General features: G+C 50.7%; 3 protein-coding genes and 2 long non-coding RNA genes across 8 annotated transcripts in view, besides 8 other annotated features; 2 read left to right on the top strand and 3 right to left on the bottom strand.

Annotated features, from left to right (window-relative positions):
• Positions 1–2,686, bottom strand: part of MYL6B (myosin light chain 6B) — a 5,396-nt gene extending 2,710 nt beyond the window's left edge. The window contains exons 1-4 of one of the 2 annotated variants that reach the window (NM_001199629.2): positions 2,642–2,686; positions 1,181–1,464; positions 433–460; positions 75–218 (exon numbers count right to left, since the gene is read on the bottom strand). In NM_001199629.2, the coding sequence (NP_001186558.1) occupies positions 75–218; positions 433–460; positions 1,181–1,354 (346 nt within the window). In that variant the 5' untranslated portion in view covers positions 1,355–1,464; positions 2,642–2,686. The remainder of the gene's footprint in view (positions 1–74; positions 219–432; positions 461–1,180; positions 1,465–2,641) is intronic. The other variant, NM_002475.5, reaches the window with a different exon arrangement.
• The window catches only part of MYL6B-AS1 (MYL6B antisense RNA 1), a 7,430-nt gene extending 2,953 nt beyond the window's left edge, over positions 1–4,477 (top strand). Inside the window, exon 3 of the long non-coding RNA NR_186043.1 lies at positions 4,288–4,477. This is a non-coding gene — a long non-coding RNA (MYL6B antisense RNA 1). The remainder of the gene's footprint in view (positions 1–4,287) is intronic.
• Positions 1,376–3,446, bottom strand: LOC124902942 (uncharacterized). Its single transcript, XM_047429954.1, has 3 exons — positions 3,226–3,446; positions 2,642–2,867; positions 1,376–1,464 (listed from the first exon to the last, which is right to left on the bottom strand). The coding sequence occupies exons 1-3, from the start codon at positions 3,277–3,279 to the stop codon at positions 1,430–1,432; spliced, it is 315 nt and encodes a 104-aa protein (XP_047285910.1). The 5' UTR covers positions 3,280–3,446; the 3' UTR covers positions 1,376–1,429.
• Positions 1,400–12,165, top strand: LOC124902943 (uncharacterized). Of its 2 annotated transcripts, none has more exons than XR_007063328.1 (2): positions 1,400–2,144; positions 11,748–12,165. It is a non-coding gene; the product is annotated as an uncharacterized LOC124902943 (long non-coding RNA). The 2 variants fall into 2 exon arrangements; XR_007063329.1 differs by lacking the exon at positions 1,400–2,144 and adding an exon at positions 4,855–4,896.
• Positions 3,533–3,612: an enhancer, noted in NCBI's record as "active region_6476". NCBI's record gives its function as "activates an Ori minimal core promoter by ATAC-STARR-seq in GM12878 lymphoblastoid cells {active_cell/tissue: GM12878}" and the evidence as "EXISTENCE:reporter gene assay evidence [ECO:0000049][PMID:35858748]".
• ESYT1 (extended synaptotagmin 1) lies at positions 10,599–27,006 on the bottom strand. Of its 2 annotated transcripts, none has more exons than NM_001184796.2 (31): positions 26,564–27,006; positions 24,650–24,691; positions 24,348–24,482; positions 24,160–24,233; positions 23,957–24,029; positions 23,707–23,796; positions 23,469–23,524; positions 22,941–23,064; positions 22,676–22,852; positions 22,472–22,554; positions 21,808–21,856; positions 21,599–21,685; positions 21,400–21,492; positions 21,092–21,193; positions 20,845–20,931; positions 18,380–18,529; positions 17,900–18,055; positions 17,598–17,774; positions 17,359–17,441; positions 17,199–17,247; positions 17,001–17,090; positions 16,774–16,869; positions 16,434–16,505; positions 16,260–16,346; positions 12,848–12,988; positions 12,541–12,695; positions 12,340–12,438; positions 12,125–12,256; positions 11,940–12,045; positions 11,644–11,693; positions 10,599–11,450 (listed from the first exon to the last, which is right to left on the bottom strand). In NM_001184796.2, the coding sequence occupies exons 1-31, from the start codon at positions 26,951–26,953 to the stop codon at positions 11,411–11,413; spliced, it is 3,345 nt and encodes a 1,114-aa protein (NP_001171725.1). In that variant the 5' UTR covers positions 26,954–27,006; the 3' UTR covers positions 10,599–11,410. The 2 variants fall into 2 exon arrangements, with proteins under 2 accessions (NP_001171725.1, NP_056107.1); NM_015292.3 differs by having other exon boundaries at positions 21,092–21,163.
• Positions 11,421–12,620: an enhancer, noted in NCBI's record as "BRD4-independent group 4 enhancer chr12:56536437-56537636 (GRCh37/hg19 assembly coordinates)". NCBI's record gives its function as "activates an origin of replication core promoter dependent on BRD2, P300/CBP, MED14 and CDK7 cofactors, and independent of BRD4, by STARR-seq in HCT116 cells {active_cell/tissue: HCT116}" and the evidence as "EXISTENCE:reporter gene assay evidence [ECO:0000049][PMID:35650434]".
• Positions 25,958–26,017: an enhancer, noted in NCBI's record as "active region_6475". NCBI's record gives its function as "activates an Ori minimal core promoter by ATAC-STARR-seq in GM12878 lymphoblastoid cells {active_cell/tissue: GM12878}" and the evidence as "EXISTENCE:reporter gene assay evidence [ECO:0000049][PMID:35858748]".
• Positions 26,198–26,297: an enhancer, noted in NCBI's record as "active region_6474". NCBI's record gives its function as "activates an Ori minimal core promoter by ATAC-STARR-seq in GM12878 lymphoblastoid cells {active_cell/tissue: GM12878}" and the evidence as "EXISTENCE:reporter gene assay evidence [ECO:0000049][PMID:35858748]".
• Positions 26,618–26,867: an enhancer, noted in NCBI's record as "active region_6473". NCBI's record gives its function as "activates an Ori minimal core promoter by ATAC-STARR-seq in GM12878 lymphoblastoid cells {active_cell/tissue: GM12878}" and the evidence as "EXISTENCE:reporter gene assay evidence [ECO:0000049][PMID:35858748]".
• Positions 26,618–27,334: a biological region, named in NCBI's record as "NANOG-H3K27ac-H3K4me1 hESC enhancer GRCh37_chr12:56521723-56522384".
• Positions 26,673–27,334: an enhancer, noted in NCBI's record as "NANOG-H3K27ac-H3K4me1 hESC enhancer chr12:56521723-56522384 (GRCh37/hg19 assembly coordinates)". NCBI's record gives its function as "activates a minimal SCP1, AML or CMV promoter by ChIP-STARR-seq in primed H9 embryonic stem cells {active_cell/tissue: H9 hESC(primed)}" and the evidence as "EXISTENCE:reporter gene assay evidence [ECO:0000049][PMID:30033119]".
• Positions 27,068–27,137: a silencer, noted in NCBI's record as "silent region_4545". NCBI's record gives its function as "represses an Ori minimal core promoter by ATAC-STARR-seq in GM12878 lymphoblastoid cells {active_cell/tissue: GM12878}" and the evidence as "EXISTENCE:reporter gene assay evidence [ECO:0000049][PMID:35858748]".

The following is a 27,334-nucleotide window of genomic DNA, read 5'->3' as shown; positions in this document are numbered from 1 at the left end:
ACCTCATTCTTTTTGTTACCAACATCCAACTTTTGAAAACTAAAAACCCAAATTGTTCCCAAGGGTCCCCTCACCATCACTCTTGGGGTTCCCCAGGACCTTGAGCACCTCGGCGTTGGTGGGGTTCTGGCCCAGGGCCCTCATCACGTCCCCACACTGGCTGTACAGGATCTTGCCATCCCCCACTCGGTCAAACAGCTCGAAGGCCTCCTTGAACTCTAAAGTATAAGGAAGGGTCAGTGTAGACACTGACTAGGGTTCCCATCACCCCCAGACAGAAGGGAATTTCAGAAACTATGTGAACAGAACAAGGGAGGAAAAGAGGACTAGTATGGGAGGTTTCAAGGTCAGGACTGGGGTTAGGGGAATAGAAAGAGAATCTGACCAGGGGATTGGGGATGGGACAGTGGCCTTAGATGAGCTTCTCCTCACCCTCCAGCTGGTCCTTGTTAAACTCGATCTGTGGAAGAAAAAAGCAGGTGGGGAGAGATGAGAGTTTATTCAATCCCTCTCCCGCACTCCTCCCAACCAACTGGCAGCCACTTCTGAGGAGGGGCCCAAAGGGACCAGGCTGGAAGCCCAGCCACCTCAGTCCCATTCCCAGCTCTGGGCCTTGGGAGAATCCCAAGAAGAGGAATTACAGTGGGGAGGGTTTCCTGGGAACAGGGTTAATCCCATGCCACCTGTTTCCCTCCCTCCATTGCCCTGAGCCCTGCATCCCACACATAACTGGGGGCTGAACAAAGGCTAAATTTACCCCTGGCCCCCAGCTGTGATTGTCTAACAAGTCTGTCCTCTTCAGCCTCCCCTCCTGGAGTTCAGAGCTGCAGGCCTTTTGAATTGAACCACCAGCCAGGGGCAGGCAACAGCTCTCTTCCCTTCACCTTGAAACTGTTCTCAGAACCCAGATGTTCCCCATCTAAGAGTCCCTGCCTCCAGCAGGGGGTAAGTGAGTGTGTATGTGCTGTACACACATGATTATAGGTTAGAGGGAGAGAACAGCAAAGACAACAGCAGAGTCATAAGACTGGATGCTTCCAAATGGGGGACTAAGGGAAAGCCCCAATCTCATTCCAGGGCTCACTGATTCCCTACCTTCTAGATACCCCCTAATCCCCTAGGCTGTATCCCACCCTCAAACCACCCCCTCCAATTCTATCTTCACTTTCCAGAGACTCACCACCACTTTGGAGAGATCGACTGGAGGCTCCTGGGTTTTCTGAGGGGCCTGGGGGACAGCTGGCTCAGCTTTGGTCTTGGCTGGAGGAGCCCCTGCTGCTGCTGGCTTAGCAGCAGGTTTGGAGATGGAGGGCCCTGCTGGTTTCTTCACGGGAACATCCTTCTTGGGAGGCATGATGTCCGGTGGCCAAAGGACAGTGTGCGGATGGGGGCACCCATCTCTGTTTAAATAGCCAGGGAGTCTGGGATGTCAAGGGGCGGGGGCAGGGGCAGGGAGCCAGTTGGCTGTGGCAAAGATGAGGTAGAGGAGAGATATAACCGCCTGCCCTCACTCCCCTGGCCTCCTATGGTTCAGGACTCCTGCCCCAAGGTCTTCTTCCCTCTGTCCCCTTATCCCCAAAGGCTGACCAGAAAAGAACAATGTTTCCTTTAGGGGTAGGGGAGGAAGCCAGAGACTGCCCAGAATGAGGTAGTTAACCTCCAGGGTGAGGATAGGATGCTTGCCAGTGGCACTGAGATGGGGGTGGTGAGGCAAAGCAGGTGATCCAGCAGCTTTAGTCTTCTTGAAGGGTGGGGTGAGGGGTAGCAGCCAGGGAGGCTTGTGTGAACTGGAACAAGTTAAAGTGTGGTCTGGGAGCAATGACAAAAACAAGAAGCCCATCTGCCCAGCCCCTCCACTCCCTTCTGACCATGGCTTTGTAAAGAGCAGGGGTAGTTAACCTTAGAGTCTAATGATCCCTAATACTTGTAGTTCCTGAGCCCCCACCCAGCCAAGAACTGGAACTATTCACAGTATAAAGGAAGAATAGTCATAAAAACAGGAGTATGACATCCCTCATTGTCTCCTGTGCCCAGTGTTGTTTTAGGGGCAGGAGTGGGGGCAAAGATCAGGTTTAACATCTGCTACCCATTCTTCCATGGAAGAAACCTTCCACAAGCCCACGGTCATTCAAGACAAACAAAAGGTAGGGTGCTTGCTGAACCTGTGGGGACCCTTTGGTGGCACCTGAGGAGAAGGGCAGGCTCTGGGAGACGGCTTAAATTCCCTAATCCAAGAGGATGTGGGCGCTCCTATGGCTCCATGAGTATTCACCCCACAACCAGGGGTATAATAAAAATCCTGACTCAGGGGCCAGGTCACAAACCTTGCCAGGGGCGCTGGGAGAGAGTCCAAGTTGGGGGGCGTTTGGGAGTGGGGAGGGATTGCAGGCTACTTTTGTTCTGGGGTAAATTAGGAAAGGATTTAGGTAGCATTCTGAGGAAGATAGCAGTGATTCCACTTAGGCCCCGGGGTTGATGCTGGGTCTCCCATTCGCAAAACAGCGTCTGAATCTCATGACTGCAAATTGTCCCATTTTTACAAAATACATCACACACACACGACACACACACACACACACACACTCACGCACCCCCACTAAATCTTAAAGAAAATGGCCCTCCTCAGCCCCCAAAAACTCACCCTGCGGGGTCCGTGTCTGGGGCTGGGGAGGGGGCGGGGCATAGCGCGGCCCCCAGCCCTGAAGGGTTAATTCCGGTGGCCGCGGAGCATGCCGGGAGTCGTAGTTCCCCGCGGGCTCACGGGATGCGCCGCGCTCTAGATTGCAGTTGACGCGAGGGCGGTGGCTTCCGGCCCATGGCGGTGGTTGGTGACTCAGTGTCCTTCCAGCGCGCTTTATGTCCCGGAACTGAAAGGCAATGAACAATTTCCAATCCACCCCAACCCTAAAAACCCTGCGGGGCCCCTAGGGTATCCCTCCTACTTAACCCTGGCGGGCTCCTAGTCTCGGGAGGTGGAGGGGGCGGGGCGGCTGTTTTCCTGGACCTACTGCTGAAAGAACTCAGAACCTGGGGAAAGATTGAGGCTGCAGCAGGCAGCGTGGAGGTCAGATAGCTGGAAGCACTTAACGGCCCCGGGGAGAACCGCTGCACTCTCTTTTGCTTCCTCTCGCGGTTTGGTAGAAAAAAAAGAGGCCTCAGAGTAGTTTGTTTTTAATGAGCTGGTTGCTGAAGTAAATGTTAAAATTTGCAATTAAGCCCAGTCACCTGCCCCAGCCTTCTCTGATCGAGGTTTCCATCCTGCGGCAGCATATGCGCCATCCTCCTCGATCTTCACAGGTCTCTGAGCGGAGGGCTGGGCTTTCCAGCCCTACTTTCTGAAACTCTTATGGTCAGCATTGGAGTTCACTGGTTCCCCTAGGCGTTGATCAGAGGATGGGAACCAGCCCGGCCGGGCCCACCTTCACTCACTGGATCAGTAAATACCCTGGCGGTGCACCTGGTGTTGGAAGCTGGTGCTGCACAGGCGTGTGAGGATTAGATCAGAGCAGAAAACTCGGGCGATGGCAGGGTGGTGAGGCACAGGTGAACTTTATGGGCAGTAAGTGAGGTTCACTGGTTGGGGAAAGTTTATTGGAAAGGTAGAAATGAATTGTACGACAGAAATAACGATAATAGTAAGTTAGCAACCATTTCTGGAGGCCGCCATAGATCTCGTACCGGTGAAGGGGCTAAATTATCTCAGAGGGTGCTCAAGTGGATGGGGTTCAGACAGCCTACTCAGATTTAAATCCTGGTTCTACCAGGTCCTAGTTAGTGACCCTCAGCAGGTTTAGTTATCTCTCCTGGGCCTCAGTTCCTCATCTGTAAAATAATGATAATGGTACCTACCTCATAGGGCTCTTCGGAGGATTCGAAGTGTTATTATTGGTAAAATAGGGCCGGGCTTGGTGGCTCACACCTCCCAGCACTTTGGGAGGCGAGGCAGGTGGGTCACCTGAGGTCAGGAGTTCGAGACCAGCCTGGCCAACATGGTGAAACCCTGTCACTACTAAAAATACAAAAAAAAAAAAAAAAAAAAAAAAAAAAAAAAATAGCTGGGCCTGGTGGCGGGCGCCTGTAATCTCAGTTACTTGGGAGGCTGAGGTCGGAGAATCACTTGAACCCGGCAGGTTGCAGTGAGCCGAGATCGCACCACTGCACTCCAGCCTGGGTGACAGAGTGAGACTCCAACTCAAAAAAAAAAAAAAGTGTAAAATAGAATAGGCCTGGCACAGCATAAGTGCTGTATAAGTTTTTGTTAAATAACTTTCCTTTAATCTTCCCAAGGTATGAGGTCGCTGATATTTTCCCCATTTTACATCAATGAAGTAAGGATCAATAGGTGTTGTGAAGAGACGGAGAGGAAGAAGGAATACATTTTTAAGTGGTTATAAGACTGGGAAAGGGCCACATTATAGATGCCTTTGTGTGGCTTTCATTACTTTTGCAGACATTGATTTCAAAATATGGCTCTTGTAATTTTTTTTCTTTCCTTTTCCCATTTTTGGCATTTTGCCAAGTATGAGTGGTTATGGCATCATCTGACTTTCTAGCATTTTCTATAGAGAAGTAGTACAGGGAAAAAACGTTAAGACCCTTGCAGAGATGGGAAGGCTATCCTTCATTTTCTGTGCCATCCCTGTCTTGATCATAAATAACAGGAACTGGACGAAACATGGTCTTAACTGGGCATAGGGTGATTATATATGTGAATTATCTGTGAGAAATGCCTGTCTCTCCTCTCTCCTCTCCCTGCTTAGCATGTGATTTGTATATTCTTATTTTTCTTTGGTTTTGTTTTTTTCTAGAAATGAGGTCTCACTGTGTTACCCAGTCTCAAACTGAGCTCAAGTGATCTTCCCATCTCAGGTGCCTCCCAAAGTGCTGGGATTATAGGTATGACCTACCTTGACTGGCCTGTATATTCTTAGAGATTGCATTTTGTGGGCAGGGAGGGAGGTGAGTCCGAAGCTTGCTTGCCTTCCCTAGGCATGCCGTCCTCCAGGAACCTCCACATGTTCAGCTGTCCAGAGTGGCCCATTAGATTGAAAGAATATGGAAAGCCATTGGGGAGCTGTTCCGCAGTGCACAGGTCTATGCACACTTACCCCCAAAGTCCAAGGAAGCTAAGAGGTTGAGGAAGGAGGCTGACAAATCCAGTTTCTTAGAAATATTTAATAGGAATTTATGAACAGAAGCCATGTCTGTGTCTTGGGTAGTGGTGAGACACGATGGTGGATCCCCAGGACATCATCCCCTGGAGTAAGTCCTGACCCCAGGACTTACCACAGGGAAGGAACCTCTAGGACAATTGAAGTCTACCCTGCAGGGAAAGGCAAGAATACTCAGTAAGCCAGGCTTTATGATCAAGATTGTTTTGATCTAAGGAGAAATTATGGTAAGTACATGCTCTTACACAAAGAACAGTAGATAAAATAGAAATCTTAGAGGCATTCCCAAAACTGGGGTTAATCAGACATGAACATTCCCAGCACTTTGGGAGTCCAAAGTGGGAAGATCACTTGAGCCCAGAAGTTCAAGACCAGCCATGGCAACATAGCAAGAGACCCCAACTCTACAAAAAAAATTCAAAAATTAGCCAGGCATGGTGGCACGTGTGCCTCTGATCCCAGCTATTCAGGAGCCTGAGGTGGGAGGATCACTTGGGCCCAGTAGGTCAAGGCTGCAGTGAGCCATGTTTGTGCCACTGCCCTCCAGCCTGGGCAACAGAGTGAGACCCTGTCCTTAAAAAATTTTTTAAAAAAAGCAGGCCGGGCGTAGTGGCTCATTCCTGTAATCCCAACACTTTGGGAGGCCAAGGAAGGTGGATCACCTGAGGTCAGGAGTTTGAGACCAGCGTGGCCAACATGGTGAAACCCTGTCTCTACTAAAAATACAAAAATTAGCCAGGCGTGGTGGCAGGCGCCTGCAATCTCAGCTACTTGGGAGCCTGAGGCATGAGAATCCCAGGAGGCGGAGGTTGCAGTGAGCTGAGATTGTGCCACTGCACTCCAGCATGGGCAACAGAGGGTGACTCCATCTAAAAAAAAAAAGAGAAAGGCTGAGCGCCGTGGCTCATGCCTGTAATCCCAGCACTTTGGGAGGCCGAGGTGGGCGGATCATCTGAGGTCGGGAGTTCGAGACAAGCCTGACCAACATGGAGAAACCCTGTCTCTACTAAAAATACAAAATTAGCCAGACGTGGTGGTGTATGCCTGTAATCCCAGCTACTCAGGAAGGCTGAAGCAGGAGATTCGCTTGAACCCGGGAGGTGGAGGTTGTGGTGAGCCGAGATCATGCCATTACACTCCAGCCTGGGCAACAAGAGTGAAATTCTGTACCCCCCTAAAAAAAAAAAAAAAAAAAAAAAGAAAGGTGGAATGGGTGGGAAGTGTTATGTGGAAATAGGCTCCCAGAGAGCACAGTGGAAAAGGTTGAGAGGAAGAGAAGCAGAAGGAGATTGTATTAGGGCCCTTTAGCTGCTCTCTTCAAGCATGTTTATTCAGTATACGTTCCTTTTTGTGTTTTGTTTGGGAGACAGGAGTCTTGCTCTGTGGCCCAGGCTGGAGTGCAGTGGTGCATCTTAGCTCACTGCAACCTCCACCTCCTGGTTTCAAGTGATTCTCATGCCTCAGCCTCCCAAGTAGCTGGGATTACAGGTGTGTGCCACCATACCTGGCTAATTTTTTTTTTGTATTGTTAGTAGGGATAAGGTTTTGCCATGTTGGCCAGGGTGGTCTCGAACTCCTGACAGGTGAGCCACCGCCTTGGCCTCCCAAAGTGCTGGAATTATAGGCATGAGCCATTGCGCCCGGCCTCTGTATACATTTCCTTTCCTCTCCCCCGAGAAACAGGGGCTTGCTCTGTTGCCCAGGCTCTGGATGCAGTGGCACAATCATAGCTCACTGCAACCTCAAATTCGTGCGCCACCGTACCTGGCTATTTCTTATATTTAGTTGTTATAGTTTTTGTTTGTTTGTTTGTTTTTTGAGATGGAGTCTCACTCTTGTCACCCAGGCTGGAGTGCAGTGGTGCAATCTTGGCTCACTGCAAGCTCCGCCTCCCGGGTTCATGCCATTCTCCTGCCTCAGCCTCCCAAGAAGCTGGGACTACAGGCGTCCCACACCCAGCTAATTTTTTGTATTTTTTAGTAGAGACAGGGTTTCACTGTGTTAGCCAGGATGGTCTCAATCTCCTGACCTCGTGATCTGCCCGCCTCGGCCTCCCAAAGTGCTGGGATTACAGGTGTGAGCCACCGCGCCCAGCAATTTTTGTCTTTTTAGTACAGATGGGGTTTCATTATGTTGGCCAGGCTGGTCTTGAACTCCTGACCTCGTGATCCGCTGGCCTCTGCCTCCCAAAGTGCTGGGATTATAGTGTTGGAATTACAGGTGTAAACCACGGCGCCTGGCCCCACTTAAGGAAATAATGTGAGATGTATATAAATATCTTCATGGCCAGGTGCAATGGCTCATGTCTGTAATCCCAGCACTTTGGGACGCCGAGGCAGACGGATCACCTGAGGTCAGTTCGAGACCAGCCTGGACAACATGGTGAAACGCCGTCTCTACTGAAAATACAAAAATTAGCCCAGCGTGGTGGCGGGCATTTGTAGTCCCAGCTACTCAGGAGGCTGAGGCAGGAGAATCACTTGCATCCGCAAGGTGGAGGTTGCAGTGAGCCGAGATCACACCATTGCACTCCAGCCTGGGCAACAGAATGAGACTCTGTCTCAAAAAAAAAAAAAAAAAAAAAGCTGCTGCTGGCCTGACACGGTGGCTCATGCCTGTAATCCCAGCACTTTGGGAGGCCGAGGCGGGCAGCTTATTTGAGGTCAGGAGTTTGAGACCAGCCTGGCCAACGTGATGAAAACCCTGTCTCAAAATACAAAATTAGCTGGGTATGGTGGCAGGTGCCTGTAATCCCAGGTACTCAGGAGGCTGAGGCAGGAAAATTGTTTGAACCCCGAAGGCAGAGGTTGCTGCAAGCCGAGACCACGCCATTGCATTCCAGCCTGCGTGAGAAGAGCAAAACTCTGTCTCAAAAAGAAAAAAAAAGAAAAAAAAAAAAAAGGCTGCTGCAGTTCCAGACATAATATCCTCATACCAATAACCTACGCAGAAAGGAAGGGGCAATGAGGGCTTTCTTCTTTAGATGCTACAGTCCCTGACTTCCTCTAACATCTTGTTGACCAAAACTGGGTCAGGGTCATTTCAACTTGCAAGGGAAAGTGATTATTCAGCAAAGGGGATCTTGATTAATTTCCTGGGGCTGGCATACTGCCACCAGGGACATTCTGGGATTCTGTATGTAGGGAAGAGGGGAAATGGCTGTTGGGTAGACAACTGTGTTGCCACACCTAGTTAACTACAGCACGTTGTTTGGTCCAATAAAAACACATTCCAAGAGGATAGTATTTGCAATCAGTGATAGCGTAACCATATGCAGTCATATCTTTCTCCAGAAAAGGTGTGCATCGTGTATGTGTGTTAAAAGTCAGTTGTTTGAGAAATGACAGAAGTATATTTAATTCATGTGACTAATGACCCTTAAAATGTGTTCCATCTTCATATATAAATGTGCAATTGTGTTTTGTGTCTCATCTTGTATGTATTTAGTTGTTTTCTTTTTTCTGGTTGTTATCTTTTTTTTTTTTTTTCTTTTTTTTGGAGACAAGGTCTCACTCTGTCACCCAGGGCGGAGTAGAGTGGTGGCACGAGCCTAGCTCACTATTACATTGAACTCCTGGGCTCAAGCGATCCTCCTGCCTCAGACTCCTGAGTAGCTGGGACTACAGGTGCATACCACCAAGCCTGGCTAATTTTTTTTAAGGGTGGTAGTTTTCTCTGGATCCTCTGCCTCGGCCGGCCTCCCCAAGTGTTGCCATTACAGGCATGAGCCATCACACTTAGCCATCATCTTGTATTTAATATGTATAGTAGTACCTCTTCCCTTATATATATTGAACTCAAAAAGGTTAGGAAAGAGTAGGGACCCTTCTGGGATGGAAGAATTTGTGCCATGTCCTCTAGTTTTCTGGAAATGTAATTACTTGAAGTGATAAACTAGCTCAAGAATGTTTTCTTAAAATCACACATTACAAAATCCTAGGTTGTATTATCTGAAGCCAGCTAGAACAGCAGGCCTTGGGCTGCATGCCCAGCTAGTATCTAGAATTTTTTTTTTTTTTTTTTTTTTTTTTTTTTTTTTTGAGACGGAGTCTCGCTCTGTCGCCCAGGCTGGAGTGCAGTGGCGGGATCTCGGCTCACTGCAAGCTCCGCCTCCCGGGTTCACGCCATAGAATTTTTTTTTTTTGAGATGGAGTTTCGCTGTGTCGCCCAGGCTAGAGTGCAGTGGCGCCATCTTGGCTCACTGCAACCTCCGCCTCCCTGGTTCAAGCGACTCTCCTGTTTCAGCCTCCCGAGTAGCTGGGACTACAGGCGTCCACCACCACGCCCAGCTAATTTTTTTGTATTTTTAGTAGAGATGAGGTTTCACCGTGTTAGCCAGGATGGTCTCGACCTCCTGACCTCGTGATCCGCCCGCCTTGGCCTTCCAAAGTGCTGGGATTACAGGTGTGAGCCACTGCGCGTGGCCAGTATCTAGAAATTTGACAAGAGACCTTAAAAATTTTCTTTGCTCTGTTTTTGGAGTTTTTCCCCCTGTGATTTTAGAGCCGGAGTTGGGGAATGGAGCAAATAAATAAGACCTCCTTGCTCAAAGCCAAGGCTTGGGGTCCTCTTACTTTGATGGGAAGGAAGTGGAGATGGTAGAGGAACCAGCAGTGAATACAAAAGGGTCACTGAGAACATAGAGGCTGAGTTTGTGGACAGTGTGGAGTTTAAATTCAGTTTTTGCTAATTAAGCAAATTTCGACAACTTGTGGAACTGAGCAGGAATCCTTTCCCCTGAGTCTTCCCTCTTCTCCCAGTGGGCAGCATCCTAAGGAAGGTTTATATTTTTCAAGAGACGATAGTAAAGTCTCTCTGAGTCAGTTATGAAATCCCCAAGTTCCTATGCCAGTGACCCTGTTTTCAGTAGTTCACTCTGTCCATCTCTCTCCTTTCAATTGGCAGAACAGATGGAGCACAGCTTCTCTAGCTTGCATTCCAGGAAAGTTCTTGCAAGGAGCAGAGTTCAAGGTGTACAGATGATCGAAATGGGTGTATTTCTCAGCTCCTGCTAGATGGGCCTGAAGCCCTTTTGAATGTAGCTGAGCATGCCCTGACAGCACAGAGACACCAGGAGCCTGTGCAGTGGCACAGAGACACCAGGAGCCTGTGCAGTGGCACAGAGCTCCCAGGTTTACCAGGTTTAGGAATCCCTTCCCTGGAAAGCCTATAGTGGTCAGCAGACAAGTTGGATGGGTAACAGAGTTCATCACTGTGACTGGAAATGAGTCTCACCTGAAATGCAACAGCAGCTACTTTACACAGGTCTCTTGACCATCCTCAACATTCTTGGTGGCTGCAACCTTAGTAGGCTTTGACCATTAATTAAACTGACATGATTCACGAATTGGATAAAGGCTTTTGACAGTAGGAATAAACATCAGATGGGTAGATTGATTCCCTATCCTTAAGGAAAAGAACCACAGCTGGTTTGAGTATGATGTTTAATGTAAGATCCAGTGGCTTGGCAGAGTTGGTGCAAAACTGTAAAGTACCAGATTAAGTTCTAGTCAGTGAGTTAGCAGCCTAGGCACTTGGGCAAAAAAATTGGCCCTGCTGTCCCAAGTCCTCCAAAGCCCTCTCCGTATCACCAGCTAGGAGCTCCAAGACTGATATGCCACTACTTGGAGGCTTGAGTAGAATCCACGCGTCCTCAGTTTCCAAAGTGACAAGAGACTGGCCCCAGCCATCAAAGCAGTAGAATTTTCAGGACAGGGTTGAGGACAGTGGGGACAGAACTGGACATGGGGGCCTGAGCTGCTGAACATTTGCTACATGCAGTAGTCTAAGAGGCTCACAGCTGGAGAGGTTAGCCTGTCCACCTTCCCACCCATGTGTGGTAGGGAAGAAGGTGACCATCTAGTTAAAGAAAAAAAGATCCTTCCAAAGCTGTATTTGGCATAAGCTAATACCACTGCTAGTGCTGCCACTGGCCAGGCACAGATACAGAAGGCCCTGAGGAGTTGGGAGGAAGGGAGAACAATGTGCAGGCAAAGCAGGAAACAGCCAGCTCAGGTCCCCGCCCCAGGGGCCCAGAAGGATAAAGGCCGTGCAGTAAAGGGAACATACGGTTCTTCTCTTTGGTCAGGCAAAGGCCCGAATATGGGCCTGTTAGGTGAAAGGGCTGAAGGGCACAGGCTCTGCCCTTGGACCCTAGCTTTAGGCTCATCACATTGAGGCGGTGATGGAGCGAGACGAAGGCAGGAAGACAGAGCAGTCAGGCTGGGACTCGCCAGCTCCTAGGAGCTGCCCTTGTCCTTGTTGTCCATCAGGTCATACCTGTGAAAAGAGGGCTCATGTAGAAAGATGACTCTTGTGTCATCATATTTATAAATGAGACACGATCCAAGGGCTTCTCTACTTGATAGAATCAATGGTTCTCTGCTCAGATTGTATCTTTTTTTCCTTTCCTGTGATTGGAATTTCTCCCACTGAAATATCCAGACCATCCCCCACCCACGCAGACACTCACCACCGGGCTACACCCTGGGAAAGGTCTGTCTCAGCTAGGTCCAGCTGCACCTGTGTTGGAAGATGATAGGGGAAAGATGTTATTTCTTTTATTTTTTGAGACAGGATCTCATTCTGATGATGCTGTTTTGAAATCTCCAAAGACCATGTTCCTTCATCACATACTCGTCCCAAACCATTGCAGAGGTGAGTCACCTCTAAAGGATCACGTGGGGTACTTCCTTCCTCACAGGGACTATAACCTTGGTGCCAGCAGCTTCCAGCCCTCACCTCTGCCCTGCCATCCTGCCCTCTTACCTTCCCCAGCAGCTCACGCTCTCTTGACATGAAGGAGGAATTAGACTTGACAGAGACATCCAGCTTTCGTCTCTGGGCCTCATCCAGGGGGAGTTCCCACTCAAACCTGGGGTAGGACTGGATGTTAGGGGCCAGGAGTCCTTTCCAAGCCTGCCATCTCTCCACCTGAATGCCCACTGACTGACCGTTCATTAAATTCAGGACTCAGGGTCCTCTTCTTCTGTGAGGTCCTCCTCTTGGTGCCTCGGTTCTTGTCTGGCAGTAGCAACAGTGACACATAGGGATCAGGAGGATCACGTCCATTCTGTCGAAGGGACCTACAACAGGAGGATGTAGGTGATATGGTAACCTGAGGGAAGGGATGGAGGCGATCTGGAGGACAGGAGGGATGGGGTCTCACCGGCAACCATGAACAATGCTGACCAGCTTTCGTTCTTCACTGTAGTACCACAGAGTCAGTTTCACCTGGCCCAGAGGCCCGGCTGGAGCCTCAAGGGGACTGTGGAGAAATATCAGTAGGTCTGGGGAAAGCTAGAGCCTAGTGAACCTGTAATACTTTTTATTTCTGACTGCGTCCCACCTTCCTGTCCCAGCCCTTTACCTGTCAACATGTGTTAGGCGCTGCCGGAGCTCTGGGGCTGAGGAGGTGATGTGAGGGGGTCCCCCCGAGAGCTCTGGTTCTTCACTCAGCGATGAGGAGCTGTGGCTGTAGCTGTGGCTATGAGCTTCCACTCCCGAGTGCTGGGACACCAGGATCTAGGGGCAAGAAAGCTGTGAGCTGGGCAGAGTTCTCTCAGTTCCCTCACTCTAAGGACACGGCCCTCTGTTCCCACCCTCCTGGGTGTCCCTCACCTGTGAAGGCCCTCCCCTCCTCCCTCTCATCCTGCCCACCATCTCCTGTCACTCACCCCTAGCTGTGCTCTCAGTAGCACCTGCCCCTGACCACTGCTGAGTGTAAACCAGCGGTCCAAGCAGAGCTGGTCAGCCACGAGGAGCTCTGAGAGGGGCAGGGATAATGAGCCCAGCACGCCAGTGCCCTCACCCCGAACCTGTGGGGCAACAGGACCATGATCAAGAGGCGAATGCATCAACAAATGAGTTAATCCTGGTGTTTTAAAGGTCCAAACGCTTGGACTCATAGGTGGTTTGGTGAGATTTCCCTTTGAGAAAGGCAGGGAAGCCATGGTAACAGTTGCTAGTCCCTCCCTCTGTCCTTCCTTCCTTTTTTTTTTTTTTGAGACAGAGTTTCGCTCTTGTTGCCCAGGCTGGAGTGCATGGCGTGATCTGGTCTCACCGCAACCTCCGCCTCCCAGGTTCAAGCGATTCTCCTGCCTCAACCTCCTGAGTAGCTGGGATTACAGGCACCTGCCACCACGCCCAGCCAATTTTGTATTTTTAGTAGAGCTGGGGTTTCTCCATGTTGGTCAGGCTGGTCTCAAACTCCCAACCTCAGGTGATCCACCCACCTCAGCCTCCCAAATTGCTAGGATTACAGGTGTGAGCCACTGTGTCTGGCCTGTCCTTCCTTTCTTAACCAGAGTAGAGTGGACCATCTTTACCTCATAAACTTTCAGAAATTATTATTATTATTTTTGAGACGGAGTCTCGCTCTGTTGCCCAGGCTGGAGTGCAGTGGCGCAATCTCAGCTCACTGCAAGCTCCGCCTCCTGGGTTCACGCCATTCTCCTGCCTCAGCCTCCCAAGTAGCTGGGACTACAGGTGTCCGCCACCACACCCGGCTAATTTTTTGTATTTTTAATAGAGACAGGGTTTCACCGTGTTAGCCAGGATGGTCTCGATCTCCTGACCTTGTGATCTGCCCGCCTTGGCCTCCCAAAGTGCTGGGATTACAGGCGTGAGCCACCGCGCCCAACCTAGCTTTCAGAAATTATACCAGTAATACCTACAGCATACAGAAAACAACAGTAAAAACAGAACTAAAAGTAAATGTTTCTTGCCCATCCTACTCCTATTGCCATATTCCAAATGTAACAACCTTTAAAACCCTCCTGTTTTCTTTGTTCTCACGGAATTCTAATATGCTTGTATCTATTGATTCCCTGCTATAAAAGATGAAGAACTGAGCTCATTTGTACCTCCTTTCTACTCTGCTAGCATTAAGTTACATTATTTTAAATTCTATTAATTTCAGCCGGGCACAGTGGTTCACACCTGTAAGATGGCTCATGGCCATCTTTTGTCTCCTCACTCTCCACGCTGCCTAAGAGATCTCACCCATGACTACACTTATGAGTGGTTGCTTGCTCATGATGTTCCAATAAGAGGGCAAGGGAGGAACACCTCATGGACAATAGATTTGTTTTCTGCATGTCTTCTCTTGGATGTCCTGCAGAGATCTCAAATTCCAAAATTCCCTCTCTGTGCACTCCCTAAGTCAGCAACGGCACCCTTATCCATCTAGCCACCCTGTGCCAAAAACCCCAGAGTTAGTGTCTAGGCTGTTCCTTGCTCCTCCACCTGCTCCATATCACAGCAATCTTCAAATCCCATCAGGCTTTAGTCGTTTCCTGCTTTGACTGCTCTAACAGTCTCCTCACTGATCTCCCTGCCCCCAGTGTTGTCCCTCTCCAGTCCATTCTTTACCCTCTTATCCCTATGATCTTCCCAAAATGCAAATCTGGATATGTGACCTCTCATTAAAGGCTTCCCTGACTGGGTGTGGTGGCTGACGCCTGTAATTCCAGCACTTTGGGAGGCCGAGGCAGTGGATCACTTGAGGTCAGGACTTAGAGACCAGCCTGACCAACATGGTGAAACCCCGTCTCTCTTAAAAATACAAAAATTAGCTGGGCGTGGTGGCGGGCACCTATAATCCCATCTACTCGGGAGGCTGAGGCAGGAGAATCGATTGAACCCAGGAGGGAGGTTGCAGTGAGCTGAGATCGTATCACTGTACTCCAGCCTGGGCAACAGAGCAAGACTCTGTTTCAAAAAAATAATAAATAAAATAAACAAAGGCTTCCCTAAGCCTTAGGATAAAATCCATATTTCTAGCATACTATTCAACAGCTCCTATGATCTTGCTCTGCCTGCCTCTCTGATCTATAATAAATATGCCTTCTCTCTCCTCCATTTTTTTTCTCAGCCTAAAGAGTTTTCCTGCTCTTCTTTTCGTGGTCCGAAAGAACCAGTAAATCTACCCTTAGGCTGGGGCGCGGTTCTCACGCTTGTAATCCCAGCACTTTGGGATGCCGAGGCGGGCAGAATGCTTGAGTCCAGGAGTTCGAGACCAGCCTGGATGACATGGTAAAACCTCATCTCCACAAAAAAATACAAAAATTAGCTAGGTGTGGTAGTGTGCACCTGTTATCCCAGCTGAGGTAGGAGGATTGCTAGAGCCCAAGAGTTGAGGCTGTAGTGAGCCCTGATTGCACCACGGCACTCCAGCCTGGGCGACAGAGTAAGACCCTGTCTAAAAAAAAAAAGGCCGGGTGCAGTGGCTCACACCTATAATCCCAGCACTTTGGGAGGCTGAGGTGGATGGATAACCTGAGGTCAGGAGTTCAAGACCAGCCTGGCCAACATGGCAAAACCCCGTCTCTACTAAAAATTGGTGGGGTATGGTGGCACGCGCATGTAATCCCAGGTACGCGGGAGGCTGAGGCAGGAGAATCGCTTGAACCTGGAAGGCTGAGGTTGCAGTGAGCTGAGATTGCGCCACTGCACTCTAGCCTGGGCAATAAGAGTGAGACTCTAGTCTCAAAAAAAAAAAAAAAAAATCTACCCTCAAGCTCAGGGGTCATCTAAGGATGCCTTTCTATCTCCAGCCTTTCCCCAGCCTGAACCCTTCCTTTCTTCCCCACAGTGCCTTTTACCTCAGTTATCATTCTGAAAGTTTCATCTGGTTATTTTTCTCCCAAAACAGAGTGTGAGCTCCATAAAGATAAGAAGTCAATCTTTTGGCCGGGTGCGGTGGCTCACACCTGTATTTCCAGCACTTTGGGAGGCCGAGGTGGGCGGATCACCTGAGGTCAGGAGTTCGAGACCAGCCTGGCTAACATGGTGAAACTCCATCTCTACTAAAAAAAATGCAAAAATTAGCCAGGTGTGGTGGCGGGCACCTGTAGTCCCAGCTACTTGGGAGGCTGAGGCAGGAGAATGGTGTGAACCCAGGAGGCGGAGCTTGCAGTGAGCCAAGATAGCACCACTGCACTCCAGCCTGGGCGACAGAGCAAGACTCTGTCTCAAAAAAAAAAAAAAAAGTCAACCTTTTATCTCATCTCTGAATGCTCTGTGCCTGGTTTCCTGCCTGGCCATGGCAGAAATCTGCTAAATATTTGAAGAATGAATTTACAGTACCTGCAACTCTAGGCTCTCAGTGTGTGGTTTCCTGATGAGAAAGGAGGCACTCTCATCCCAGACAGGGGCTGAAGTTTGCGAAATAGTCTGGTGGAGATGAGGGCTTATGATCAGTAGCTGATACTCTTATTTCTCTTATCCCTCCCATTTTTACCCTGCAGCATTTCTTCATACCTTGGTTTTATGAGAACTATCTCCCACAGTGAGAGTAGCATAAGGGCTGAGGTGCTTGGTGCCTTTTCGCAGCTAGAAAGACAATACTGTGTTAGTCTTAAATTTGGACCTAGTTAGGCAGATCCCCCTCACAAATTATATCCACAGCCAGCAGCCATGTCTCCATTATTACTTGGCAGCCACTACCCGTGGCCTTGAACAGACAACTTTTCCCACCCCTGCACTACCCTCAGAAAGAGAGGGGCCATTTTTCTTATTCTAAATACTCCAGGACCATCCAAACCGGAGGAAGGTGGAAGAAGGGCCAGGAAGTTATGGGGCATGGGGAGCGGGATCTCACCGGGAGGTCCTCTGCCCGCTCCATATAGATGGATAGCAGGGCCGCAGCCAGCTCCGCACTCTTCTGAGTCTGGATCAAACTATTCACCTGCAGCACCTGTGGAGGGGCACACGGGGCTGGGGAGTGGTAACTGACACCTTGGGTTCTGGCATGTGCCTTGAACGCTAAGAGAAGAGCTCATCCTGCCCCACCTTGGGTCCCTTCCTTCCTCAAGTCTCCTGCCCTACCTCCTCTAACTCAGCAGCAGTGGGACGGGGGGTGAGACGCTCCAGGCGCAAGTGCAGGCGGCCAGATGGGACATCCTCCAGGGTCAGCCACTGTGGAAGTAGGCAGGGTGAAGACTTGGGGATATGCAGACAGGAGAACTTTGAGAATGAAGCTTGGGCAGGATCAGGAGGGGTTGTTGACTCTAATTCAATGCTCACCTCATCAAGGAAGCCACTGTTTAAGACTGTGGTGAGACGCACTTTACACCTGTTGAAGAGAAAGATTAAGACAAAAGCTAGATGGTGAGAACCAAGGAGGCCAGACTCCATGGCCTAAAGAGCCCCAGCCTGTTTTTCACGTAGACTCCTATGCTCTCACCTGCCCAGAAAATCATCCTTGTCCAAGTCCTTGTCAAAGACTTCAACCTCTAGCTCTTGGCCTGGAACTGATGTGACGATCACCTAGTGGGAGAAAATAGTGCAGATGAAAGATTCTCTCCTTTTCCTCTGCAAATGACTGGACCCCCCAGTCAACTGAACCTCAGAGGTTTCTGGACCACTTTTGGGATTGGGGGAAAAATGGGGCAGAACCAGGAGTCACAGCCACTCAATTCTGACCTCAAAAACCTCATTCCAGCGGGGATTGAGATCTTCCCGAACAACATGGCTCCGGAAGCTTCGTCCTGCCAACTTTAGTTTGACATAGGGGTCTGACTTGCCCTTCACCAGTCCCCCCAAGAAACGGTCTTTGGCAATCAGGTCCTGGGCCTCTAATACATGGATCCGAAGCACATGCTGCAAAAGGGACGGGGGGGTGCCAGATGGCAAAGGGAGAGAGACCTGTCAGAATCTGCCCTGAAACAGGCTTTGCATACTTAGCGGGGCAAACAGACCCTAGTCCTTTCCAGATATAGACTCACCTCAGTCCCAAACTGGCTATCAGGAGTCGTGTGACAGGGTCGAGGTGGGGCATCCACACTGCTGCCTCTCTGGGGATTCTCACTGTCCACGTCCCAAGCACCAGGACAACCAGGCACCGTGGGGAAGCATATTTCTGATGAATCCAAGTACAGGATCTAGGAAGGGTAGTATGATGCTGAATCAAAGAAGTGCAGCTCGTCACCAGCAGGCAAAGCATGTGGGGTGGGGTAGAGGAGGGGCTGTGACAGGGGAACTAGGTGCTGCCCTGGCTGGGCTCATCTCTACAGGGTTCCCTCCACACCCCCTCAACTCATAAGCCATTCCTTCCACCAGTCAGATCAATATATGTTTTTGTGCCTGCTTGGCACTTCTACATGTATTAGCTCTTTTAATCTTAGGGGGGTCCCTTTCCTTACTCTTAATACCAAAGAATCAACAGGCCTTTCCCCCACACCTCAGTACCTCCTCTATTTCCATACCCTCATGACTAGTTTCATATAGAGTCTGGAGTTTGGACCAGAGCTGCTGAGCTGGAACCACTGGTCCAGGATGAGTTCTGGGGCAGTCAGCAGGCGGGCCAGAGGCAGCGTCAGTGCTCCTAAAGTCAGGGCCCTGGAATCATCCTTCACCTACAGGCACAGGAGGAAGGACTGTAGTGAAGGGATTAGGGGAAAGGGAGGCATACTGTGAAAATGATAACATGGCTCCAACTTCATTCCTCTCTGTACCAATCACAAACCTCCTGCTCCACTCAGGGCCATCTTTTTTTTTTTTTTTTTTTTGAGACAGAGTCTCACTCTGTCGCCCATGCTGGAGTGCAATGGCGCCATCTTGGCTCACTGCAACTTCGACCTCCTGGGTTCAACCCATTCTCCTACCTCAGCCTCCCAAATAGCTGGGACTACAGGCGCATGCCGTCACGCCCAGCTAAATTTTTGTATTTTTTAGTAGAGACAGGGTTTCATGGTGTTCCCCAGGCTGGTCTCAAACTCCTGAGCTCAGGCAATCCGCCCACCTCGGCCAGAGCCATCTTTTATAGTCCTCTGCCCAATCCATGGCCCCTTCCACCTTTGTTCATTCTGCTCCCACTATTTGGAAAGTCCTCATTCTCTTCCCTCGGCCTATTTAAATCCTACTCATCCTTCAAGACTCAATTAAAATCCAATTTTTTGCTTCACAAAATCTCCCTAGTTACTCCAGCCTATCCCTTTCTCTGACCCTCCTTAGTCCTATACTATGGATATTTTACTCCCACAAATTCATATGTAATTGTTGCTATTCTTCTGTTCCTTTTTTTTTTTTTTTTTTTTTTGGAGACAGAGTCTTGCTCTGTCACCCAGGCTAGAGTGCAGTGCTTGAAATCAGCTCACTACAACTTCTACCTCCCGGGTTCAAATGATTCTTCTGCCTCAGCCTCCCAAGTAGCTGGGATTACTGACACATGCCACCACACCTGGCAAATTTTTGATTTTTTTTTTTTTTTTGAGACGGAGTCTCACTCTGTCACCCAGGCTGGAGTGCAGTGACGCTATCTTGGCTCACTGCAACCTCCGCCTCCCGGACTCAAGCAATTCTACCTCAGCCTCCCAAGTAGCTGGGATTACAGGCACGCACCACCATGCCTGGCTAATTTTTGTATTTTTAGTAGAGATAGGGTTTCACCATGCTGACCAGGCTATTCTCAAACTCCTGACCTCAGGTGATCCACCTGCCTTGGCCTCCCAAAGTGCTAGGATTACAGGTGTGAGCCACCATGCCTGGCCTTAGTTCATATGTACTTGTTCTTGAATGATTTTATATGTGTATGTCTTGTCTATGAAACTGAAACTGGCCAGTGAGTATTGTGAAGGCAGATACTATGTTTTGTGCTTTTTCTATGACCTTTAAAATGCTGAATGTTGGGCCGGGCACGGTGGCTCACGCCTGTAATCCAAGCACTTTGGGAGGCTGAGACGGGCGGATCACCTGAGGTTGGGAGTTCGAGACCAGCCTGACCAACATGGAGAAACCCCGTCTCTACTAAAAATACAAAAAAAATTAGCCAGGCATGGTGGCACATCCCTGTAATCCCAGCTACTCAGGAGGCTGAGGCAGGAGAATCACTTGAACCCAGGAGGTGGAGGTTGCGGTGAGCCGAGACCACGCCATTGCACTCCAGCCTGGGCAACAAAAGCGAAACTGTCTCAAAAAAAAAAAATGCTGAATGTTAGCAATTTTATTGAGGCATAATTTACATACCATAAAATCACTCATTTTAGGTACCGTGCCCAGCCTCAGAATAATTTTTGTATACCTAAAATGAGTGATTCTATGGTATGTAAATTATGCCTCAATAAAATTGTTAACATTCAGCATTTTAAAGGTCATGGAGAAAGCACGAAACATAGCATCTGCTTTCACAATGCTTACTGGCCAGTTTCATAGACAAGACACACATATATAAAATCATTCAAGAACAAGTACCTATGAACTAAGGCCAGGTGCAGTGGCTCATGCCTATAATCCCAGCACTTTGGGAGGCTGAGGCAGGCGGATCATCTGAGGTCAGGAGTTCGAGACCAGCCTGGCCAGCATGGTGAAACCCTGTCTCTACTAAAAATACAAAAATTAGCCGGGCATGGTGGTGCCTGCCTGTAATCCCAGCTACTCGGGAGGCTGAGGCAGGAGAATTGCTTGAACCCAGGTGGTGGAGGTTTCGGTAAGCCGAGATCGCACCACTGCACCCCAGCCTGGGCAACAGAGCGAGACTCCATCTCAAAAAAAAAAAAAAATATTATTCTGGAGCGACAGTTGGGGAACAATGGAGAGATATTCAGGGAGGTGGGGAGTCTAGGTAGATGGATTAAAAATAGGAATCAAGGGAAAAGAAGGAGAGGAGAAATGGTACAGATCTGGGAAGTCAGAATAGGGTATTCGGGAGGGGATGAAGAGGTGATTATCTCACTTGCACATCGAGCTCCTGGCTTTGAGGGTCTTGTAGGAAGAACCGGAACGCTTCCTCCCACACTGGGCAGTTGGTACTGTAGACAGCCTGGAGATGTAGAGGAGGGATTAAGGGTGTATACCACAGCACCATTCCTGTTTCTGCAGAAAACCCCTGCATGTAACAGGCATTCTAAAGGGGAAACCATCCCAAGAATAGGCCTCTCCCTGTCCTACCTGGCCACCCACAATGATGTCCTGGCCCTCACCTTGCTCTCCTGAGTCACATCCTGAATTGACAGTTGTACCATAGGGTTGGGTTCCTTGTTCCCCTTCTTCAGCTGTGGTGGGTACAATTCAGAGGTCACCATCTTGGGGGATTCGGTTTTGGTTTTGGTGAAGGAAGGTGGGATCGCATCAGAATCCTTTCCCTGAGATGGATCTGATCCCCTCCCTGGGACCCTTATGTTACATGCTGATACTTCTGGAGCAAAGCAGGCAGGGACATTTGCATCCTCAGCAAGGCAGGGTTGGGGAATGTTACATCCAGGGCTCCTGTTCACCCAGCCAAACTCACAGGAAGATCCTGGGCCCGATCCAGGTAGACAACTAAGATGGCAGCTGACGGGGGATCTGGTCGAGAGGAGACTCCCCAATTCCACTGTAGAACCTGGGGAGGGGTGGTAGTAGTCAGATCTTGGTCCCCGTTCCAAGTCCCCTACACTTCCAGCTACCTATTTCTCCCCTGCCAGCTTCCTATTTCCCATGTGGCTTACCTGCTCCAGTTTCTCTGCATCTGACAAAAGTGACAGCCATTCTAGCCTCAAGTGAACTTGGCCTTGCCCACCTTGTAGAGGGAACCACTAGAAGAAATTGAGATGTAGTAGAGATCAGATACCTGCTCAACTACTTCCCTACCAATGTAGCAACTACTATCTACCCAAAGGGTGAGATCAGCCCCCACCTTCCTCTTCTCCCAACTTACATCATCCAGAACGCTAGCCTGTAACACCTTCCCTACATCCAGCTTCATTCTGAGGGTTGGCGGGGGAGAGGGTAGTGAAAGGAAGAAAAGGGTAGTGTTGTAATTAGCAGCATGTCAGTGGCCCTCCACTCACCCACCCAGAAATGACTGGCAGATCTCAGACTCCCTTATTCCTCTCAGAAGATATTCACCTGCATGCGTGAGTATGTGCATGGTAGGGGCTGGGGGTGGGGAGGTTAGGAAGGAAAATGATACATGATTCCCAGGCCCAGAAAGTGAGTATAATTACCTCCAGAACCTCGGTAGCATGGGCTTTATTTTTTTTATTTTTATTTTTTTTCTTTAGAGACAGAGTCTCGCTCTGTCGCCCAGGCTGGAGTGCAGTGGCGCGATCTCGGCTCACTGCAAACTCCTCCTCCCGGGTTCACCCACCATTCTCCTGCCTCAGCCTCCCGAGTAGCTGGGAGTACAGGCGCCCGCCACCACACCCGGCTAATTTTTGTATTTTTAGTAGAGATGGGGTTTCACCGTGTTAGCCAGGATGGTCTCAATCTCCTGACCTCGTGATCCGCCCGCCTCAGCCTCCCAAAGTGCTGGGATTACAGGCATGAGCCACCGTGCCTGGCCAGCATGGGCTTTAGAATCCTAACAGGCAGAGTCTCACCTGCCCAGAAAGTCATCTTTATCTGGATCCTTGTCGAACACCTCCACTTCAATCTCCTGCCCTGGGACCTCGTGTACCATCACCTGGGGAACACAGAAGGCTGAGTGTCTCATGGGGCTGCAGCTGTGAGGATCATCCAATCAGCATCTTCTCTCACAACCTCCTGGGGCTTCCCCATTTCACAGAGCTGCTCAACTCTCCCACCTCATAAGTCTCTCCCCACTGTGGGTTGAGTTCTTCATCAATGACACGACTGCAGAATGTCTGGGTACCCAAACGCACAAGTGCATATGGGTCTGACTTGCCCTCAATCAGGCCCTTCACATATTTGTCCTTGGAACTCAGCCCTCGAGCAGCCAGCAGGTGAATTCGAATAATGCCCTGGAGGAAGGAATCAGATGGTGAGAAACTAAGGACCCAGCAAGGGGTTCCTGAGAGAAGGATCTATCTAGTGGGGGAAAGGCCATACCCTGGGCAGAGGGGAACGCAACTGAGCCACATCTTGAAGGTCAGGCACAAGGGGCACCAGTAATCGGTTGGGCAACACGAGGAAGGCAGCAATGGAGTCCATGATCATGGTGTCAGAGAGTGAGCTGAATGGGGGAGTAGAAAGGAGTGGGTATGGCCTCAACTTCCAATTTTCTCCTAACCCCAACTATGTTTCCCACACCCAAGAGAGACCTAAAGCTGTAAGAAAGTCCTTTTGTGAAAATCCTTTGTGCTACTCTTCTACCCTAATTCCCCACCTACTGCTCTCTCCCTTCTTCACTGCCATCCCCATTGCCTTTTGCAGTCTTCAGCCCTCTGCATTCCCTTCCTGCTCCCCCAACCCAAAGAAAAATCACAGTATCAAACTTTGCAGGGGTATTTGTCTTTGCTCCCCAAATGAAGTTGAGGCTCCTAGAGGACACAAGCAGCATCTTTGACTGCTCTGTGTCCCTTAAACCCCCAACCCAGCGCTGGAACACTCAGCAGGTGCTCAGTAAGTCCTTGATACCTAAGTCCTGGGATATCCAGCAGGTTGGTCATCCCTGTCCAGTTGATGTCTAGGGTCTGGAGGGAAAGAGCAGGGGTCAGGACAGATCCTATGGGGTGTGGTCATACCCATCAAACAGTTGCCAGAACCCCTCGGCCTTCTTGTCAGTTCCCTTCTCATTCCCCTTCACTGGCTGCCCTCATCCTCCCAGTCCTCTGTTTCTCCTGCTTCCCCATACCCCTTCATTGTTTTCCCTTACCGGGCGTCGGATGAAGAACATTGACACAGCCCCCACGAAGGGAAGGTCCCCAATGAGTGGCTCCAGTATCACCCGCAAAACGCCATGTAGCTGAGGCAAGAAGAGAAAATCAAAGCCTTTCCCCAGAAAAGTCCCTCTTCTGTCCTCCCAGACTTTCTCAGCCTTGGTCTTTCCAACCTCACACTTCCCCATATCCCATGAAACGCAGGACAAACATTCCCTATTATGTGGCCCCTGACATCTGGCCTACCTGCATGCCCTTGACTCCTGCTTTGCAAAAATATTTCTTCACTTCCACATCAATCTGCACATCACCTACATAGCTGGGGATTGGTGAAGAAGAGAACCAAGAGAGTTAGTCCTTGGCTGAAGTTGCGGGGAGGGGGAGTGAAGTAGCCTGGACTGAACAGGACACATTGAAGGGGAAGCAGTAAGAGTGGTGAGTGGTATTACCTGATGTTCAAGTCCAGCAGGATCTGCTCTTTTCTCTGACCTGGGTGAACCTTGACTCCAATGATGCGCAATGGCTAGGGAGAGAGAAATTCCTGAGAGAGGGCAGGGATAGGGAGAAGTACCTGAGTCTACTCCGGGCCACTCACCCTCCCTAGCCTACCTCCTCACTTTCCCTCCTCCACACATACCTTTTCACCCAGTTCCACTCGTGTAAATGTAAATGTTTGCAGATGGGGGTTAGATCCCCTAACAGCCGGAGCCACAGTTTCAGCCAGAAGCTTCTCCATATACTGGCCCAGGAAGGGCCAGACCTGGGCCACAATCTGGGAGGAAAGAGAGATGGTCAGAGGAGAGTCCAGTCTTCCCTCTCAAGGCAAGTTCCTTCAGAATCCTCCCCACGGAGAGCACTGAGGGTTGAGGATGGGTCTGGCAAGAAGAAACAAATTCCCATTCTCCCCTCATGAAGACTAAAAATCAAATCAATCCTCACCTTATTGAGCCATTCAGCCTTTTCCACGTCTGGGAAGCTGACCTGGAGGTGGGGAAGGCAGAGACAGTGACGTGCAGCACACCCTCGCCTCTGGTTTCCTACTAAGATGCTGGTGGTGTGCCACAGAGGAGAGGGAGTGTGTGTGACTCCTCACACTCAGGGTGGGCGAGGGGCGAGGATGCCCCAAAGGTTCATTCCTCACAGAGTTTGGGGGCTGATGTCTCTCTAATAAGGGGAGCTGACAAGGTAGAGGTCACGCTGTTGCCCTGTGGATAGCTCAGGGACGTGGTGAAATGACAGCTGCTGAGAGAGAGAGGAGCGGGAGGAGGAGAAGGGCGCATTCTTTCTGGAGGGGGAGGTCCAGTCAAATTGGAGTTTGAGGGAATCCTGGGATTTAAAAAGTCCTGGTTCCAGGCTGGCCGCGGTGGCTCGCATCTGTAATCCCAGCACTTTGGGAGGCCGAGGCCGGCGGATCACGAGGTCAGGAGTTCGACACCAGCCTGACCAGCATGGTGAAACCCTGTCTCTACTAAAAATACAAAATTAGCCGGGCGTGGTGGCGCGTGACTGTAATCCCAGCTACCCAGGAGGCTGAGGCAGGAGAATCGCTTGAAGAGGCAGAGGTTGCAGTGTGCCAAGTTCGGGCCACTGCACTCCAGCTTGGCAACAGAGCGAGACTCCGTCTCAAAAAAGAAAAAAAAAAAAGTCCCCTTTTCCAGCCTTCTCAACTCCCCTCAGACGGGGCTTCTAGAGCAGGAAGGTGAAGAGGGAAGCAAGTCCTTCCTTGAGTCAGGGAGGGGCCAGAAGACCTAATTAGGCCTGGCTTTGTGGGTTTTTTGGGGTGTGTGTGTGTGTTTTCCTCTATCTTTCTCTGTGTGACTCCTTTTAAGGGAAAGGACACCTGCGCTTTGTATTGGGGGTAGGAAGATTGGTTTCCATGATGATGAGGAGGAGACAAACACTTGCTGCCTAGGCTACAGGTCCCCTAGAGCCATTTGGCCCTCTTTCTCCTCCCCTTTCCAGTCCAGGGCCTGGGAAGCTTGGCTGTGTCTGTCTAGTGTCAATTTTGATTCCTCTCTGCTGCCATTCTCCCCCTAGACTGGCACCTCTGCTGGGAGGGGCCGGGTAACCGGCTTCGCCTCTGCAAGACTAGAGAGAAGGCATCCGCCTCAGCACAGGAGACGCGGCCGCCGCAGAAATAAGGGTCTCTGCCCCAACGGAACAAGCGCAGCCCACAGTCCGGAAAAGGGTGTGGCCGGCCGAGGAGTGCGGGGGAGTGTGCGCCGCGGGCACTGCAGCAGCCGCACCACCTCCTCCCGTAGCCCTCCCTCCGTCCAGCAGCCGCCTCTGCCGCGCTGCAGTCTGGCGGCTGGAGGCTTGAAGGTGGCTGCCCGAGGGTCGTCCAGGGGCCGGGGCTGGGTCCTAGCGGGTACCCGGGGATAAAAGCGAGAAAAGAGAGAACCGTATGGCTTTAAGTAGGTAAAAAGTCTCGAGGAGGATGGGAAAGACTAGGGAAACCTTTGAGAGGTAACGGGACCAGGATTTCCAGGAGCAGCAAAGCCGCGAGTGGCACCAAAAGCAAGAGGGACGTTCAAGATGGCTTGGCTAGGAGGGAGAGCTTCGGCTGAGACGGGGTCCCCAGATGTTATTACTGCTGTTGCCCAAGTAGAGGAAGAAGTCCTGATTCTGTGGAAGGATCCAGTCTGGGCATGCGAAAGGGTGGGTGGGGAGAGTGAGCAGTCGGTTCCAAGAGTGGCGCGTCCAGCAGGCAGGCGGCTAGCGGGGAGAGAGGGGAAAGTCTGGGGCCCACTGTCCCAAGGCAGGGAGCTGACTCTAGGCATAAGGAGGAAAAGCCCCAGATGGAAGGGGTGGAAGGGGGCTATGCTGCACAGAGGACCGAGGGTGGTCGCTCACCCAGGCAGGTAGCTCTCGATGACTCATATAGAGAGTTTTCGCAGTGAGCTGCTCCTCGTCGTCCAGTAGCTGCCTCGCTGCTCGAAGGCTCCGTTCTTTCTCGTCGCGGACCCGGCGCCAGCCCAGGTAGAGGGCGAGGCCGAAGAGCACGAAACCCACGCTGAGTCCCACTGCCCCGGCCAAATACACAGGTATCAGCACCAGCAACCGCCTCCCGAATGAAGTCAGCACCGCCAGGGCCTCACCCGCCGCGCCAGGGCCAGCAGGTTGGCCCCCAGAACCTGGGTCTGGCTTTGCGTGAGCAGCGGGGGGCTGGTCAGTGGGGTCGGAGGGAGCAGAGGGCTGGTCCATGGGGCTGGGGCTGGGGCCCTCTCCTGGAGATCGCTCCATTGTGCCACCTCTGGGAGGATCCGCCCGACCCAGGGACTGGCTGGAGGTTGCCTAGTCTTGCGATCAGCTCCCCCAGGCAAAACGTGATCCCCGGGATGGAGGAGGGGACTTCAAGCCACGCCCCTCCTTTCTGGCGATTTGGGTTGGTCCGCGCTGCACAGACCAAGGTGGAGTTAAAAGGTTGAAACTCCACCCCTCTTCCGCGGGGAACGGACCGGGTTTCGGATAGGTAGGGCCTCCCTGATTGGGCCCGAAGGCCAAGATGGGAGGTCTGAGATGGCGGGAAAAGGAAGAAAGGGGCTCAGGGGCGGCATTCGATTGGTAATAAAGAGGAGGAGGCGTGGCGCACCATTTCAGGAGAGGCGGGACCAAGAGCTCCCC

Source organism: Homo sapiens, chromosome 12 (assembly GCF_000001405.40).
Source record: "Homo sapiens chromosome 12, GRCh38.p14 Primary Assembly".
NCBI classification, from domain to species: Eukaryota; Metazoa; Chordata; class Mammalia; order Primates; family Hominidae; genus Homo; species Homo sapiens.
The sequence above is the reverse complement of the archived record's forward strand: the minus strand, read 5'-3'. Positions and strand labels throughout refer to the sequence as shown.

Excerpts from the sequence above, each read along its gene's own strand:
- LOC124902942 (XM_047429954.1), bottom strand. The coding sequence starts at position 3,279 with ATGGCGCATATGCTGCCGCAGGATGGAAACCTCGATCAGAGAAGGCTG. Across the intron at positions 2,868-3,225 it reads ATCAGAGAAGGCTGGGGCAG|TTCCGGGACATAAAGCGCGC; the intron begins GTGACTGGGCTT and ends ATTGCCTTTCAG. Across the intron at positions 1,465-2,641 it reads CCAGACACGGACCCCGCAGG|CCAACTGGCTCCCTGCCCCT; the intron begins GTGAGTTTTTGG and ends TCTTTGCCACAG.
- ESYT1 (NM_001184796.2), bottom strand. The coding sequence starts at position 26,953 with ATGGAGCGATCTCCAGGAGAGGGCCCCAGCCCCAGCCCCATGGACCAG. Across the intron at positions 24,030-24,159 it reads CTGCTGGACTTGAACATCAG|CTATGTAGGTGATGTGCAGA; the intron begins GTAATACCACTC and ends ACCAATCCCCAG. Across the intron at positions 21,194-21,399 it reads ATCGGGCCCAGGATCTTCCT|ATGGTGACCTCTGAATTGTA; the intron begins GTGAGTTTGGCT and ends GAATCCCCCAAG.